The 18305-nt window shown below is 43.9% G+C and overlaps 1 protein-coding gene across 2 annotated transcripts in view; it reads right to left on the bottom strand.

The window, feature by feature from the left end:
• Positions 1-18305, bottom strand: part of HYKK (hydroxylysine kinase) — a 29797-nt gene that overhangs the window by 6141 nt on the left and 5351 nt on the right. For both annotated transcript variants that reach the window (NM_001083612.2, NM_001013619.4), the window contains exons 2-4: positions 17808-18149; positions 16126-16265; positions 3670-3853 (exon numbers count right to left, since the gene is read on the bottom strand). In NM_001083612.2, the coding sequence (NP_001077081.1) occupies positions 3670-3853; positions 16126-16265; positions 17808-18144 (661 nt within the window). In that variant the 5' untranslated portion in view covers positions 18145-18149. The remainder of the gene's footprint in view (positions 1-3669; positions 3854-16125; positions 16266-17807; positions 18150-18305) is intronic.

Here is an 18305-nt window from a genome sequence, read left to right as displayed (position 1 = left end):
CTTGATCTGTCTAATATGGTAGCCACTAGACATATGTGGCTATTTAAATTCATTAAGATTCAAACTGGAGGGCCGGATGTGGTGATTCACGCCTGTAATCCCAGCAGTTTGGGAGGCTTAGGTGGGCGGATCACTTGAGGCCAGGAGTTCAAGACCAACCTGACCAACATGGCAAAACTCCATCTCTACTAAAAATACAAAAATTACGTGGTGTGGTGGTGCATAATTTCAGCTACTAGGGAGGCTGAGGCATGAGAATCACTTGAACCCAGGAGGCAGAGGTTGCAGTGAGCCGAGATCACGCCACTGAACTCCAGCCTGGGCAACAGAGTGAGACTCTGTCTTAAAAAAACAAAAACAAACAAACAAAAAAAACCAAAACAGGATTTAAGCTGAGTGCATTGGCTTATGCCTGTAATCCCAGCACTTTCAGAGGCTGATGTGGGAGGATCGCTTGCAGCCAGTAGTTCAAGACCAGCCTGGGCAACATAGTGAGACTCCATTTCTATAAAAAAAAAAATCTGCTGGGCATGGTAATGCATGCCTGTAGCCCCAGCTATAAAAAAAAATTTTTTAGCTCAATAAGGTTAAATAAAATTGAAAGTCCTAAGGAATATCCTTAGTAGCACTAGCCACATTTCAAATGCCCATAGCCACATAGGAGCTATTGTATTGAACAACACAGATATAGAACATTTCCTTCATTGAAGAAAATCCTACTGGACAGCACTAATATAAAGTATGTTCTCTGATCACAATGTAATTACAGTAGAAATGAACAATAAGATATAACCAAAAAAGTTCATCATATTTTGGGGAACAGGATTTATACTTCTAAATACCCATGAATAATAATACAAAAAAAGTAGCCAGGCATGGTGGCACACGCCTGTGGCCACAGCTACCTGGATGGCTGCAGCAGGAGAATCTCTTAAACCCAGGAGGTGGACGTTGCAGTGAGCTGAGATTGCACCACTGCACTCCAGCCTGGGTGACAGAACAAGACTCCAGCTCAAAAAAAAAAAAAAAAAATAAATAAATAATGGTTGAATTTCATGGTTTGTGAACTATATCTCAATAAAGCTGTAAAAAAATAACAGGGGCCTGGTGCGGTTGCTCATGTAATCTTAGTGCTTTGGGAAGCTAAGGTGGGAGGATCGCTTGAGCCCAGGAGTTTGAGGCCAGTCTGAACAACATAGAGAGACCCTATCTCTACAAAAATAAAAATATTCACCAGGCATGATGGTGGATAGGTTAGTCCCAGCTACTTGGGAGTCTGAGGTGGGAGGATCGCTTGGGCCCAGGAGGTCGAAGCTGCAGTGAGCTGTGATCGTACCACTGCACTCCAGCCTGGGTGACAGAGCAAGACTGCCTCAAAAAAAAAATTTAGAATTATGCATCCAAACATACTGTACCATGAAAAGACAAGCCACAGAATGGGACAAAATATTTGTAACACATATAACTAGTAAAGGACTCATATCCAGAATATATTTAGCATTTCTACAAATCAATGAGAAAAAAATAATTTCAATAGAAAAAAGGCCAAAGACTTGATTTGGCACTTCTCAAGAATATATTTCAAATGGCCAATAAATAGAGAGATGGATTTTAAAACCATGATGTGATGATCAACTATTATGTACAAATCAGATTGAGAAAAATTTTAGAAGTCTGACCACACCAAGGGTGTAGAACAATGAAAACTTTTACACTCTGCTAGCTGTAGTATAAATTCATAGAACCACTTTTGAAAACATTGTTATTATCCAGTGAAGCTGAATATAGACATGTCCTATGACCTAGCAATCCTATCGCAAGGTATACACTCAAAGACTAATGAACATGTATACTGAGACTCAAGCATGTTCACGGCACCACTGTTCTTAATAGCCCCAAATAAGGAACAACCCAAGTATCTTTTAAGAGTAGAATAATGTGTGGTATATTAGTGAATACAATATTCTAGAGTTATAAAAGTTAACCAACTCTAGCATATGCAATGACACGCAGAATCTTACAAAAGTAGTATTGAGAAAAAAAAGGGAAGACAAGTGAATATATATGGTAGAGAGGCAGAGTAGGAGCAGGGAGACCAGTTATAAGGCTACTGCAATCATCCAGATCATAGGCTCTCCTTTGAAGAAAGAATGGATAGAATTTGACTGGATTTGTGACATGAGAGAAAGCACAAAGTGAAGCCTATGACTGCTAACTTTTTGTCCAGATTAACTAGGTGAATGGTGGATACAACTTTAATGAGATGAATAAGACTGGGGGAAAAACAGGTTTGAAGGGAAAAAATCAACTCTGTTTTTACGCTACACCTTACACTGTGTTTACACGGAGTAAGGAAACACTGAGAAACACATACTGCCTATCTTAGGCCTTGATAGAAATGCCCTTCAGTTCCTTGCCCTTTTTTTTTTTTGGAGACGGATTTCGCTCTGTTGCCCAGGCTGGAGTGCAGTGGCACAACCTAGGCCCACTGCAACCTCCACCTCTAGGGTTCAAGCAATTCTTCTGCCTCAGCCTCTGAGTAGCTGAGATTACAGGCACGCGTCACCATGCCCAGCTAGTTTTTGCATTTTTATTAGAAACAGGGTTTCACCACGTTGGCCAGGCTAGTCTCAAACTCCTGACCTCAAGTGATCCACCCACCTCGGCCTCCCAAAGTGCTGGGATTACAGGCGGGAGCCACCACACCCAGCCAGTTCCTTGCCTTTGACCAGTACTTAATGCTGGATGAAAAGGCTGGTTATATCTAGAAATATAGCCTAGAGAAACACCTGTCTGTGTACACAGGGAGATAGATATATACTAGAGCAGTAGTTCCCAACCTTTTTGGCATCAGGGACTGGTTTCATGGAAGACAATTTTTCCATGGACAGGAGACAGCGGAAGGATGGTTTTGGGATAAAACTGTTTCATCTCAGATCATCAGGCATTAGATTCTCACTTAGATCCCTTGCATGCGCAGTTCACAGTAGGGTTTGTGCTCCTATGAGAATCAAATGCTGCTGCTGATTTGACAGGAGGCAGAGCTCAGGCAGTAATGCTTGCTTTCCCTCTGCTCACCTCCTGCTGTGTGGCCCAGTTCCTGGGGTTTGGGGACTCCTGTACTAGAGGGTTCATTGCAGCATAATTTATGTAGCAAAGAAATGGGAAGCAACCTAAAATTCCATTAACAAGAGAATGGACCAAAAAATTATAGTACATGCAAATAAATTATGGTATATTCATACTATGGAATACTATTTAGCAGTTAAAACTAATAAACTAAATTAAAACTACAAATATTCATATGGATCAATCTGCAAAACATGCTGAATAGAAAAGGCAGGTTGCAGAATAATAATACACAGTGTGATACCATTGATATAAAGTTTGAAAAACACAAACCCTACTATAAATAATTTATAAATCATACATATGTAATGTGCAAATTTAATGGGAAGAAGAGAGGTAGACTCATGTAAAGTTTAGAGGAGGCTTCAAATGTAGCAATTTTGAGGAAAGTAAAAATATTATTATTTAAAAAGCAATAGGAGCAAATATGGCAAAATTTTAAGATTTGATAAAGCTAAATTGTACCTCCATACTTTTCTGATGATATGAAATTGGACAGTTTAAATATCAAGAAAAATACTTAATTGGGAGAATACTCACATTCTCGAAAATGACTTAATTTGGTCATTACTTCCTCCTTGAACAGATGAATGACATGCTCAACAATCTCTCGGTTTCGATTCTGGCCCAGGGCATACAGGTATTTCTCCAGAAGAGGAACATTTTTCAGATTCCAGATGAAGTTCTCCCGATGAAGACTACTTAACTTTGGGTGATGGAATCTCTAAATCAAAAGCGAGATATTCTTAGTCTCTTGACAGAGCAACCACTGCTGAGAGAGGTGGGAGGTGCTGCACATTTTTTTTTTTTTTTTTTTTGAGACAGAGTCTTACTCTGCCGCCCAGGCAGGAGTGCAGTGGCACGATCTCGACTCACTGCAACCTCCACCTCCTGGGTTCAAGCGATTCTTCTGCCTCAGCCTCCCGAGTAGCTGGGATCACAGGCATATGTCACCATGCTTGGTTAATTTTTTTTTTTTTTTGTATTATTAGTAGAGACAGGGTTTCACCATGTTGGCCAGGCTGGTCTCAAACTCCTGACCTCAGGTGATCCACCCACCTGGGCCTCCCAAAGTGCTGGGATTACAGGTGTGAGCCACCTCGCCCGGCCGGTGCTACACATTTTTAATCAACCAGGTCTTGTGAGAACTCACTCACTGTCACAAGAGATGTGCTGCTTCAGAAGACTACCTGCTCTAGACTGGCCAGGGAGTCTGTGAGGGAGAGAGCTGGCATTCTCTCATGGTCATTGACTTGCCCCATTTACTTTAACTCACAAAATAGTAAGCCTTCATATCTGTGCAGGATCTCTCAGTTTGGGGAGCACATTCCCAGCTCACTTGATCCTCATAATTATGTAAAGATAGGCATTATTGCCCACAGCTTACAAAAGAAATTGGAGGCAGCTCTAAAGAACTCTGTTCTCACCCATGCCCCTTGTAACCTCTCTGACTTCATCTTCTACTGCCTTTGCTCACCTACTCCAACCACCCTGGCCTCCCTGTTGTTCAAGGAACATGCTAGGCACGTTCCCACCTCACAGCCTTTTGCTTTTGCTGTTTCCCTTTTTGGGGATGCCCTTCACCAGATATCCACATGGTTAGTGCCGTCATTTCTACCAGGTCTTTACTCAAAAAACGCCTTCTCTGTGAGAATGTCCTGACCACTCCATCTAGAATTTCAACCCTCTCTCTGATATTTTGTACCTGTCGTCTCTGCTTATTTTTTCTTCTTACCACTTATTGCTAACATTTGTCATAGTTCACTTACTTATTTTACTGTCTACTCTCACTAGAATATAAGCTCCATGAGGGATAGGGCTGTTTTTTGTCTGTTTTGTTCACTCCTGTATCCCCACACCTAGAACAGTGCCTGGCACATTGAAGGCACTGCTTGAGCAATATTTGCTGAATTAAAGGATGTTCTTAGAATTAAAAAATTCTGGAATTGGAAGGGCCTTTAGACTTTGACCACTCTATCTAAAGTTGTAAATAATTTTCACTATCATTGCACAAATGGGGAAACAGATTCATAGAGGGATAACGACTTGTTATTATAAGGCTGAGGGAGGACCTGGATCTTGTGACCCACAGTTGAGACCTCTTTCACAGAGTGAGCGCTGGAAGATGCTTTGATGGTCATCCAGTGAAGTTGATTTCAAACTTTTTTGCATGACTTGCAGTAAGAAATATATTTTACATCATAACCCCAGTATACAGGCACACACATATAAAGAAAAAGTCTCAGTAAACAACACTTAGACCATTACATGTGACATATTCTGGTGTTTTTAAAAATTATATTCTGGCTGGGCGTGGTGGCTCATGCCTGTAATCCCAGCACTTTGGGAGGCCAACGTGGGTGGATCATTTGAGGTCAGGAGTTCGAGACCAGCCTGGCCAACATGGTGAAACCCTGTCTCTACTAAAAATACACAAAATTAGCCAGGCATGGTGGTGGGTGCCTGTAGTCCCAACTACTTGGGAGGCTGAGGCAGGAGAATCGCTTGAACCTGGAGGGCGGAGGTTGCAGTGAGCTGAGATCGCGCCACTGCACTTCAGCCTGGGCGACAGAGTGAGACTCTGTCTCAAAAAATATATATATAAAAAATAAAATTTAAAAATTAGATTTCTTTTAAAAGTTCCTCTAGGCTGGGCATGGTGGCTCACGCCTGTAATCCCAACACTTTGGGAGGCCAAGGCGGGCAGATCACGAGGTCAGGAGATCGAGACCATCCTGGCTAACATGGTGAAACCACATCTCTACTAAAAAATACAAAAAATCAGCTGGGTGTGGTGGCGGGTGCCTGTAGTCCCAGCTACTTGGGAGGCTGAGGCAGGAGAATGGCATGAATCTGGGAGGCAGAGCTTGCAGTGAGCTGAGATCGCACCACTGCACTCCAGCCTGGGCGACAGAGCGAGACTCCATCTCAAAAATAAATAAACAAATAAAAATAAAAAAAAAAAGTTCCTCTAAATGGATTTCAGTACTCACTATTATGACCGGGAGTTTGAGAACCTTCCCCTGATAATTCTCTTATCAGTAGCATTTTCTTGCTAAATAGTCACGTAGCCTGTTTGAATACTTCTTGATATGTTTTGGATCTGTGTCCCCACCAAATCTCATGTAGAACTGTAATCCCCAATATCGGAGGTGGGGCCTGGTGGGTGGTGATTGGATCATAGGGGTGGTTTCTTATGAATGGTTTAGCACTATCCTTTGGTGCTGTTCTTGTGATAGTGAGTGAGTTCTCATGAGACCTGTTTTTTGTTGTTGTTGTTTGTTTGTTTGTTTTTGAGGCAGAGTCTCTCTCTGTTGCCCAGGCTGGAGTGCAGTGGCGCGATCCTGGCTCACTGCAATCTCTGCCTCCCAGGTTCAAGCGATACTCCTGCCTCAGCCTCCTCAGTAGCTGGGATTACAGGCACCCACCACCAGGCCCAGCTAATTTTTGTGTTTTTAATAGAGACGGGGTTTTACCATGTTGGCCAGGCTGATCTCGAACTCCTGACCTCAAGAAGGCTGCAGAAATTTGCATAAGTAAAAAGGAGCCAAGCGCTAATAGCCAAGACAATGGGGAAAAGTTCTTGAAGTCATTTCAGAGACTTGTGGCAGCCCCTACCATCACAGGCCTGGAGGGTTAGGAGGACAAGATGGTTTTGTGGGCCAGGCCCAGGGCCCTGCTGCCCTACACAGCCTTGGGATATTGCTCCCCACGTCCCAGTTGTGCCAGCTCAAGCCATGGATCAAAGGGGTATGGTACGGGTATAGCTTGGACCACTGCTTCAGAAAGCGCAAGCTAGAAGCCTTGGTGGCTTCCAAGTGGTGTTAAGCATGTGGGTGCACAGAGTGTAAAAGTTGAGGCTTGGGAACCTCTGCCTGGATTTCAGAGGATGTATGGAAAAGCCTGGATGTTCAGGCAGAAACCTGCTGCAGGGGTGGAGCCCTCATGGAGAAACTCTACTAGGGCAGTGTGGAGGAGAAATGTGGGCTTGGAGCCCCCACACAGAGTCCCCACTGGGGTACTGCCTAGTGAAGCTGTGAGAAGAGGGCCACCATCCTCTAGACCCCAGAATGGTAGATCCACTAGCAGTTTGCACCCTGCCCCTGGAAAAGCCACAGGCACTCAACACCAGCCCTTGAGAGCAGCCACAGGGGCTGAACCTTGCAAAGCAACAGGGGTGGGGCTACCCCAGGCTTGGGAGCCCATCCCTTGCATCAGTCTGCCTTGGATGTGGGACATGGAGTCAAAGGAGATTATTTTGGAGCTTTAAGATTTAATGACTGCCCTGCTGGGTTTTGGACTTGCATGAGGCCTGTAGTCCCTTCTTTTGGCTGATTTCTCCCTTTTGGAATAGGAGTGTTTACCCAATGTCTATACTCCCATTGTATCTTAGAAGTAAACACCTTGTTTTTGATGTTATAGGCTCATAGGCAGAAGGGTACTTGTCTTGTCTCAGGTGAGACTTTGGACTGTGGACTTTTGAGTTAATGCTGGAATGAGTTAAAATTTTGGGGGACTGTTGAGAAAGGATGATTGTATTTTGCATTGGAAGAAGGACATGACATTTGGGAGGACAGGGGCAGCATAATATGGATTGGCTCTGTGTCCTCACCAAATCTCATGCCAAACTGTAATCCCCAGTATTGGAGGTGGGGCCTGGTAGGAGGTGATTGGATCATGGGGGTGGTTTCTCATGAATGGCTTAGCACCATCCTCTTGAGGCTGCTCTCATGACAGTGAGTGTGTTCTCATGAAATCTGTTGTTTAAAGGTATGCAGCACCCCCGGCTTGCTCTCTCTTGCTCCTGCCCCTGCCATTTAAGACACCTGCTCCCACTTTGCCTTCCGCCATGATTAGAAGCTTCCTGAGGCCTCCTCAGAAGCAGAAGCCACTATGCTTTCTGTACAGCCTGCAGAAGCATGCGCCAATTAAACCCATTTTCTTTATAGATTACCCAGTCTCAGGTATTTCTTTATAGCAATTTGAGAATGGACTAACACACTTCCCATGGTAGGTACTTTTTACCCTTATTGAGATGGCTTTGTGTTCTTCCTTTTGTGCAGTTAAAATCTGCCTCTGCCTCTCTAATAGTATCCATGCCACTGGTTCCAACTATGACCTCTGGGCCCATCTGGAATAGGATTAGTCCTCCAGATTTTTGAGGATAGTACTCCTGCTCCCTCGGAGTCCTTTCCCTCTCTCTCTCTTTTTTCTTTTTTTTTTCTGAGACAGAGTCTCACTCTGTTGCCCAGGCTGGAGTCCAGTTGCACAATCTCAGCTCACTGCAACCTTTGCCACCAAGGTTCAACTGATTCTAATGCCTCATCCTCCCAAGTAGCTGAAATTACAGGCATGTGTCACCATGTCCGGTTAATTTTTTAGTATTTTTAGTACAGACAGGGTTTTATCATGTTGGCCAGGCTGGTCTGGAACTCCTGGCCTTAACTGATTCACCTACCTCAGCCTCCCAAAGTGCTGAGATTACAGGCGTGAGCCACCGCACCCAGCTTTGGAGTCTTCCCTTTTTTTTTTTTTTTTTTTTTTTGAGACGGAGTCTCACTCTGTCACCCAGGCTGGAGAGCAATGGCGTGATCTCAGTTCACTGCAACCTCCATCTCCCAGGCTCAAACGATTCTCCTGCCTCAGCCTCCACAATAGCTGGGATTACAGGCACACACCACCACACCCAGCTAATTAAAAAAATTTTTTTTTAGTAGAGACAGGGTTTCACCATGTTGGCCAGGCTGGTCTCGAACCGGAGTCTTCTCTTTTGTTTATTTAACATCCTGTGTGTTAAATGCCAATGCAGATCACAAAAGCACTGCAGAGTAAGCACTGAAAAAACACTGTTAGGAGCTATTACTTTTGGAGTGTGGGATTGTGGAGGAATGGAGATGATGGTGGTGAGAAAAAATCTTCATTTCATACCTTTCAGTACTGTTTGAAATTTTAACTGTGCATATTTATTATTTTTATTTTTAAAGAAAGTAAAATAGCTGGGCGTCATGGCTCATGTCTATAATACCAACTAGTTGGGAGGCTGTGGTGAGAGGATCGCTTGAGCTCAGACTACCCTGGGCAACATAGTGAGATCTCACCTCATTACAAAAAAAAAAAAAAAGAAGAAGAAAGGAAGTGAAATATAATATTCTAGTTGGGTTTCCAGTGGAGTGACAGTCTACTCGGGGAAGGCTCTGAGTCAGCTTCTGAAATGATGGCACGATTGACCCACGCAGCCATAGAACTTCTCAGCTCTAGTATGGGGTACTGGGAAGAATCCTGGGGTTCACTCAGACAGATCTAGGTTTCAACTGGCTCTACCACTTAATATCCCAGATTTTAGTTTCCTTAGATAGCAAAATCAAGCTATCAATTACCAGCTTTACAATCAATTGTGGACTCACTAAGACATGAAATGAAAACTTCATACATATAGGTGCTCAATACATGTTTGTTAAAATCAGTGTTGTCCTTGATCTGCCTGACTTCTCCGGCTTTTCTATCCTCTTGACTCCTTGCTACACCAACCTGAATTCTTGATAATTTAATCAGTACTCTCTATTAGCCTATCTTAGCCCTCCTCTTGTTATTAGGTTGGTGCAAAAGTAATTGCAGTGTTGCAATTAAAAGTAATGGCAAACCCGCAATTACTTTTGCACCAATCGAATAACTCCCTCATTCTCCACCCCATACCCCAGCTCCCATTTCCCATGCATCTTGTGTCCTCTAGTACAAAGCTTTGACCACAATCATACTCATAAGCCTGTCCTATACTTTCTTCTTTCTTATAATTAATGAAATCTCCTGAGATTGACTTCCAGCCCATCTGAGGACCAAATGGCAACCAAATTCCAGTACTAGTTGGTCCCTTCACTTGTTAACTCCTCAGTTCTGGCCCCTACAATCCCCAGAACTCCTGCCTACTTTGGATCCCACAGGCCTACCTGACCAACTGCTGGAAGCTTCAATGGCCCAACCATGTCCCCAGCAGAGCAGCCACAGCCTCGGCCATGCCTACATGACTAAAATACCACACTTGTGTATTATCTTTCATAGACTCTACATTCTTAGTACTTATAGAAAAACTAAGAACTCAGCTCCTCAGCCGCCCCGTCCGGGAGGGAGGTGGGGGGGTCAGCCCCCCGCCCGGCCAGCTGCCCCGTCCGGGAGGGAGGTGGGGGGGTCAGCCCCCCACCCGGCCAGCCGCCCCATCCGGGAGGGAGGTGGGGGGGTCAGCCCCCCGCCCGGCCAGCTGCCCCGTCCGGGAGGTGAGGGGCGCCTCTGCCCGGCCGCCCCTACTGGGAAGTGAGGAGCCCCTCTGCCCGGCCACCACCCCATCTGGGAGGTGTACCCAACAGCTCATTGAGAACGGGCCATGATGACAATGGCGGTTTTGTGGAATAGAAAGGGGGGAGAGGTGGGGAAAACATTGAGAAATCGGATGGTTGCCGTGTCTGTGTAGAAAGAAGTAGACCTGGGAGACTTTTCATTTTGTTCTGTACTAAGAAAAATTCTTCTGCCTTGGGATCCTGTTGATCTGTGACCTTACCCCCAACCCTGTGCTCTCTGAAACATGCGCTGTGTCCACTCAGGGTTAAATGGATTAAGGGCGGTGCAAGATGTGCTTTCTTAAACAGATGCTTGAAGGCAGCATGCTCGTTAAGAGTCATCACCACTCCCTAATCTTAAGTACCCAGGGACACAAACACTGTGGAAGGCCGCAGGGTCCTCTGCCTAGGAAAACCAGAGACCTTTGTTCACTTGTTTATCTGCTGACCTTCCCTCCACTATTGTCCTATGACCCTGCCAAATCCCCCTCTGCGAGAAACACCCAAGAATGATCAATAAAAATAAATAAATAAATAAATAAATAAATAAATAAAGAACTCAGCTCCTGCAAAGGCATGGGGTGAGACTGGGTGAGGGGATGAGCAACAGGAATAATGCATGATAAAATGCATGTAATGCCAAATGAAGAATGCTTGGTTCCCTCTAGAGCTCCCTCGTCCTCTGTAAGACAACTTAAAGTTGCACAGCAGAGCAGCAGGTGCCTAAATGCATAGCAGAATTGACTCACTGTCAGCAATGATGTGGTGCTATTTCCCTCTAAAACTGTATTGCTTTTTCAGAATATAGCAGGAAAAGTTGAAAGTTCAGTGGCCATAGGCATATGAATGAAGCCCACAGATAGGGCGGAAGGAAAGGTTACTGGTAAAGGAAAACTATTATGTAACAGACAGTCATTTAAACCTCAATAGTAGGTTTAAGTCTGAGGAAGGTAGACAGACTTTATTGAGCACTACAATCAGTTCAAAGGTTTTTGTTTTTGTTTTTGTTTTTTTTGAGACGTTGTCTCACTCTTTCACCCAGGCTGGAGTGCAGTGGTGCGGTCTCGCCTCACTGCAACCTCCGCCTCCCGGGTTCAAGTGATTCTCTTTGCCTCAGCCTCCCAAGTAGCTGGGACTACAGGCACCTGCCACCAAGCCCAGATAATTTTTGTATTTTTAGTAGAGATGGGGTTTCATTATGTTGGCCAGGCTGGTCTGAAACTCCTGACCCCAAGTGATCCACCTACCTTGGCCTCTCAAAGCGCTGGGATTATAGGAGTGAGCCACTGTGCCCGGCCCAGTTCAAAGGTTTTTCTAAACAAAATTAATATGTGAAGATTTCCTAAAAATATATTAATTAGAAAGGGCTATTTAAATCCAACTTATATTATTGTGAACAAATGAACATTTTAACAAAAGTCCACAAATGAATTTGCTCAAACTTACTTGAAAACTATTTTGACGGAAATGTTTAATATGTTTACCACCCAAACCCTTGCAGAAGCTCAATAAATATTTGTTGAATAAACGGATAGAGTGCAATATAAAATGGTGATTATTGTAAGTATAGAAAAAGGTCTGTGGGTTTATAAACATATGCTGAGCACCAAGTATGCCCCTGGGGCTGTGGAATAGCGTGGCGCATGGAATAAATGGTTCAGAGAATGTCATCTCTGGATGATGGAATTAGTGGTAACTTAATTTTTCTTTGTATTTTTATCTGGTTTTCTTTAAATAATGGATCATGGAAGGATTTTTACTCAGAAAAAAAGGTTACAATATTTCTATTTGAGGATCTAAGGATAAATGAATACTATTTACACTGCAACAGGGGTTTCAGTTTTTTTTTTTTTTTTTTTTAGACAGAGTCTTGCTCTGTCTTGTCCAGGCTGGAGTGCAGTGGTGCAATCTCGGCTCACTGCAGCCTCTGCCTCCTGGGTTCAAGTGATTCTCCTGTCTCAGCCTCCCCAGTAGCTGGGATTATAGGCGCCCGCCACCATACCTGGCTAATTTTTGTATTTTTAGTAGATGGGGTTTCACCATGTTGGCCAGCTGGTCTCTAACTCCTGACTTCAGGTGATCCACCTGCCTCGGCCTCCCAAAGTGCTGGGATTATAGGCGTAAGCTACTGCGCCCGGCCTGGTCTTCAGTTTTTGGCCAATAGGGGTGTAACGCGGGGCTTACCCTCCTGCCAGAAAAAGCAAAAACAGTGGACAAAATACGTTAAACACTGGTTTTCAAGTTATTAGACGTTAGGCAATGAAAAACAGTGATCCCTGAGAGAATGAAAACAAACAAGGGGCCCAGGTGTGGTGGCTCACACCTATAATCCCAGCACTTTGGGAAGCCAAGGTGGGTGGATCATTTGAGGTCAGGAGTTCAAGACCAGCCTGGCCAACATAGTGAAACCCTGTCTCTACTACAAATACCAAAAAATTAGCCGGGCGGTGGTGGCAGCTACTCAGGAGGCTGAGGCAGGAGAATCCCTTGAGCCTGGGAGGCGGAGGTTGCGGTGAGCTGAGATCGTGCCACTGCACTCTAGTCTGGGTGACAGAGTGAGACCCTGTCTCAAAAAAAATAAAAAATAAAACACACAAGGGCAGTTTGCCCCAGCTCACTGCCTTGACAGAGGATGCAGTGCAGAGAGGGAAGACCCAGGCGGAGCCCAGAGGACTCTCTGAGTTGAGGAGGTAGAGTTGAGAGTCTGGGGAGACCAAAGGAGTTTGAGTTTGCAGGACAGATTACCAGGGATGGGAGAGCTGCAGAGAGAAAGCACTTCAGGGATCTGCATTATGTCCCCCTTGAGAAATTAGCAGATGGGTGTATGACCCATGTGTAAATGTGAGGAAACTACTCAAAACTGGGGAACGAGCCACCTGAAAAGATTAGAGGGAAGAGTACATGGCACGCACAGGGCCAGGAAGAGTGCCTGTTCCTACCATCCACACTGGAAAACCTCACAGCTCACAGGACACTGAAGGATTTTGATCAGTAGTAAATTGGTCCTTGGTCCCATCTATCAAGTAGTAAAAGCATGACCCAAAAGGATCAAACTGCTTCCAAGTAACTTCAGTATATCCACTCAAGGTATCCCAGTGAATGACAAGCATAACAAACATGAGGAAAACTATACAAGTCACGCCTTAATCAAACTGCTCAAAACTGGAGATAAAGAGAATTTTTTTTCTTTTTTTTTTAAGATGGAGTCTCACTCTGTCACCCAGATTGGAGTGCAGTGGTGCAATCTTGGTTCACTGCAACCCCCACCTCCTGGGTTCAAGTAATTCTCCTGCCTCAGTCTCCAAAGCAGCTGGGATTATAGGCGTGCACCACCATGCCCAGCTAATTTTTGTATTTTCAGTAGAGACAGGGTTTTGCCATGTGGGCCAGGCTAGCTGGTCTTGAACTCCTGACCTCAAGTGATCCGCCTGCCTCAGCCTCCCAAAGTGCTGGGATTACAGGTGTGAGCCACCTTGCCTGGCCTCAAGAGAAAGTCTTAAAAGCAGCCACACACATACAAAAGACACATTACATTCAGAGGGACGATCTGATGGCAGATTTCCTGTCAGAAATAATGCAATGAGCCCGGGAGGCAGAGGTCACAGCGTTGCACTCCAGCCTGGGCAACAGACAGAAACTCTGTCTCGAAAAAAAAAAAAAAAAAAAGAAAGAAAGAAAGAAAGAAAGAAAAGAAAAGGACCTGATGCAAGCAAGAAGTGGAGCAATGTCTTTCTTTCTTTCTTTTTTCTTTTTTTTTGAGACAAGGTCTTGCTCTGTCACCCAAGCTGGAGTGCAGTGGTGCGATAACTCACTGCAGCCTCAACCTCCTGGGCTCAGGTGATCCTCCCACCTCAGCCTCCCAAGTAGCTGGGACTACAAGCATGCACCACCATGCCAGGGTAATTTTTTGTATTTTTAGTAGAGACAGGGTTTCACCATGTTGCCTAGGCTGGTCCCAAACTCCTGGCCTTAGAGTGATCCTCCTGCTTTGGCCTCCCAAAATGCAGGAATTATAGGCGTGAGTCACCACACCTGGCCTAAACCTCTTTTCTGTATAAATTACCTAGTCTCAGGTATTTCTTTATAGCAGTGCAAGAATGGCCTAATACAAAGACCAATCCCCTGGCTAGGCATGGGGTAGCTCATGCCTGTCATCCCAGCACTTTGGGAGGCAGAGGCGGGAAGACTGCTTGAGCTCAGGAGTTTGAGACCAGCCTGGGCAACATGGTGAAACCCCATCTCTACAAAAAATACAAAAATAAATTAGATGGGTGTGGTGGCACACGCCTGTAGTCCCAGCTACCCAGGAGGCTGAGGTGGGAGGATTGCTTGAGCCTGGGAATTCGAGGCTGCATTAAGCTGTGACTGTACCACTGCACTCCAGCCTAGGAGACAGAGTGAGACCCTGTCTCAAAAAAAAAAAAAAAAAAAAGACCAACCCTTCTCTTCTTCCTCCTCCTCAGCCCACTCAAAATGAGGATGACAATGAAGACCTTTATGATGATCCATTTCCACTTAATAAATAGTAAATATATTTCCTTTGTCCTGTGATTTTTTTTAAATAACATAAAAGGTACTCAGTCAATATTGAATAAATGAAGATGTTTTATGGGTGGGTCTAAAAGGTACCTGTCATACATTATATTGTTTCTATAGGGCAAAAACATCCTTAACATACATTATTAATCCATTTGCAACCTAGCTATTGCTTTATATGGGGCTCCAGTTGATTATACTGTGACTGGATGAAATCTTCAGGTTTCTATTTGTGAATATTGACTGTTTTCAGTGAGCAGCATGAAGAATATCATGAATTTCTAAAAATTTAGGTAATCTTTCCAACACACCAGTAAGATTTATTTATTTTTTAATTTAAAAAAAATTTTTGGGCTGGCCACAGTGGCTCACGCCTGTAATCCCAGCACTTTGGGAGGCCGAGGCGGGTGGATCACGAGGTCAGGAGATCGAGACCATCCTGGCTAACACAGTGAAACCTCGTCTCTACTAAAAATACAAAAAATTAGCCGGGCGTGGTGGTGGGCACCTGTAGTCCCAGCTACTTGGGAGGCTGAGGCAGAAGAATGGCGTGAATCTGGGAGGCAGAGCTTGCAGTGAGCCAAGATCGTGCCACTGCACTCCAGCCTGGACGACAGAGCGAGATTCTGTCTCAAAAAAAAAAAAAAAAAAATTTCTTTGGAGACAGTGTCACTCTGTCACCCAGACTGGAGTATAGTGGTGTGATCTCGGCTCACTGCAACCTCCACCTCCTGGCTCAAGCGATTCTCCTGCCTCAGTCTTCCAAGTAGCTGAGACTACAGGCACACGCCACCATGCCCTAAATTTTTGTGTTTTTTAGAAGAGATGGGGTTTCACTATGTTGGCCAGGCTGGTCTCAAATTCCTGGTCTCAAGTTAGATTCCTCTGCCTCAGCCTCCCAAAGCGCTGGGATTACAGGCGTGGGCCACAACACCTGGCCTACACCAGTAAGAGTTAGGTAGAAGTTAGCCTTACTGTCATAAAATGTATGCACTCTAGGACTCCATTCCCTTCATAACATACCTTAGGTAGCACCATACATAAAAAGAGAATCTGATCCATACTTTATTTTAAAAATAAAATAACAAGCAAACAAACATCCCTTAGAATAAAATAAAGCCCCAAATCTTACCTGCAGTGTCTTATCCAATTTGGCAGCTAGTTTTCCAATTTCATACAATAGCTGGGGGCTGACGGGAAGCTCAGCGATGGGTCTTCCTGGGAGGTAAGTCAGCAGCCTCACCAAGTAGCTTTTGATTTCAGAGCCACTATCTAAATGGATGGAATAAAATATCCTTTGACTAAATTATTTATATATATATATATATATAGAGAGAGAGAGAGAGAGAGGTATTTAGATATAACAGAATTAGAAGCTATTCTGCCTCTGCAAGTATTACTGAAAAGAACAGAAATTACAGAACAACAACAAAAATGTGCTAACCTAAAACAGCTCGGCAGGATTCTATGAAGCAGAGTTGAGTGGATGAAGCAAGAAGGTAGAATATACAAACCTTAACAACATTGGAACTGGCCATTTACATACCAACAAAATTATAGCCCTAACTCTGCTGGCCTTAGCTCTACACAGAAATTACTTACTGTGGTAAATGAAAGCAAAAACACATACTCTTTCATAAGTTCACAATTGAGGGGAGTGAGGTACAAATAAATGACTTCCAGAATCAGGCTTCTTGTGGGACAGCCTGTGTTTGCAACACAGGACAATAACTGTGTCTCAGGGACCACAATGGGCCTCACGTATTTGGAGCAATGCAAATTAAGAAAGAATGGTGAACAATTAAGAGAGAAAAAGACAATCAAGATTTCGAACCTTTAAAAAAATTTCAAGAAATTGGTTTTAGCCTGTTGCTTAAAGAGCTGAATTAGGTCCATTCTCAGCATTTTAGTATTTAGAGGTGAAAAGGGCTGTCTCACAGATGAGGACTGGCGGCCTTAGGGATTTAAGTGGTCTATGTGTCCAAGGTCACATATACAGTAATGACAAAGCTAAAATCTAAAATTCCTGATTTCCTGATTTCCAGTATTATATTCTTTCTACTATACCACAACACCAGAATTTATAGCTTCTCTAAATAATAAAAATGTTTTATTATTTTTCTGGTTAAAAAAAAAAACAAAAAAACAGGCCAGGCATGGTGACTCATGCCTGTAATCCCAGCACTTTGGGAAGCCAATGAAGGCAGATCACTTGAGGCCAGGAGTTCAAGACCAGCCTGGGCAACATGGCGAAACCCTGCCTCTACAGAACACTACAAAATTAGCTGGGCGTGGTGATGCATGCCTGTAGTCCCAGCTACTCAGCAGGCTGAAGTGGGAGGATCACCTGAGCCCAGGAGGTCAAGGCTGCAGTGAGCTGTGACTGCGCCACTGTACTCCAGTCTGGGTGATAGAGTGAGACCCCTGTCTCAAAAAACAAACAAACAAATAAAAAATCCCAAAACCACCAACAAAACAAACAAAAAATACGAAACAAACAAAAAATATTCCCCTGATTTCCACAAGTCCCCTTAGTTACTATCTGTCAGGGCCTTTCTAAACAGAAAACTTATACCACATTGGGCTCTAACCACTACTCAATCAGAGGACCAATCACCACTTTGATGACGCTGTAGCTTCTCCCAGCACCGAAAACACAACCACCTCTAAGGGTGTACTATTGAGGTGCTAAAAAATAATAACAACCACATCTACACTTGGAATTATGAACCTGCTCTTCATAGTTCTACTTGTGGCCAAAATGCAGTGATGTGTCTGGATAGGTAATGGATCGGCGAATTGGTCATCTCTTACCTACAGACACGAGAGAAGCTGTGTTGTCTCCTTTAGTGTGACACACAGAGGCTGTTGGAAATCCAGCGGCTTTCAGAAACATGATGATGTGATTCTGCACTTCAATCAGGTCTGGATTTTTGCTAGCCTTGGTGTTGCTTATTTTGAGGACATATTCAGTTGGGCCATCTTTGGTTTTTGAAACGTAGACATGAAAGTTTTGGTCATCATAGCTAGGAAGTGGCCGGACCTTGGAAACTTTCAACCCAAACACTGACTCCACTAACGCAGAGGCTTGTTCCTCACTGAAAGTGGGTTTGCTAAGAGCCTCTGACTGCTGATAGTTTCCACTTGACATTATGTCTAGGGGAACAAAAAGCAACAAACAGAAAGGGGACACAGGATGAATATATTTATTTAAATGATTTTTCTCAAGACAGACCAGTAATGTTTCTGTTGATTCTGTACTTCTTTTGATTGTTAAGTTTTACTCATAAAGTTAAAAAGAAAATCAAATCA

Source organism: Homo sapiens, chromosome 15 (genome assembly GCF_000001405.40).
Source record: "Homo sapiens chromosome 15, GRCh38.p14 Primary Assembly".
Classification (NCBI taxonomy): Eukaryota; Metazoa; Chordata; class Mammalia; order Primates; family Hominidae; genus Homo; species Homo sapiens.
Note: the sequence above shows the minus strand (reverse complement) of the source record. Positions and strands in the feature narration are given on the sequence as shown.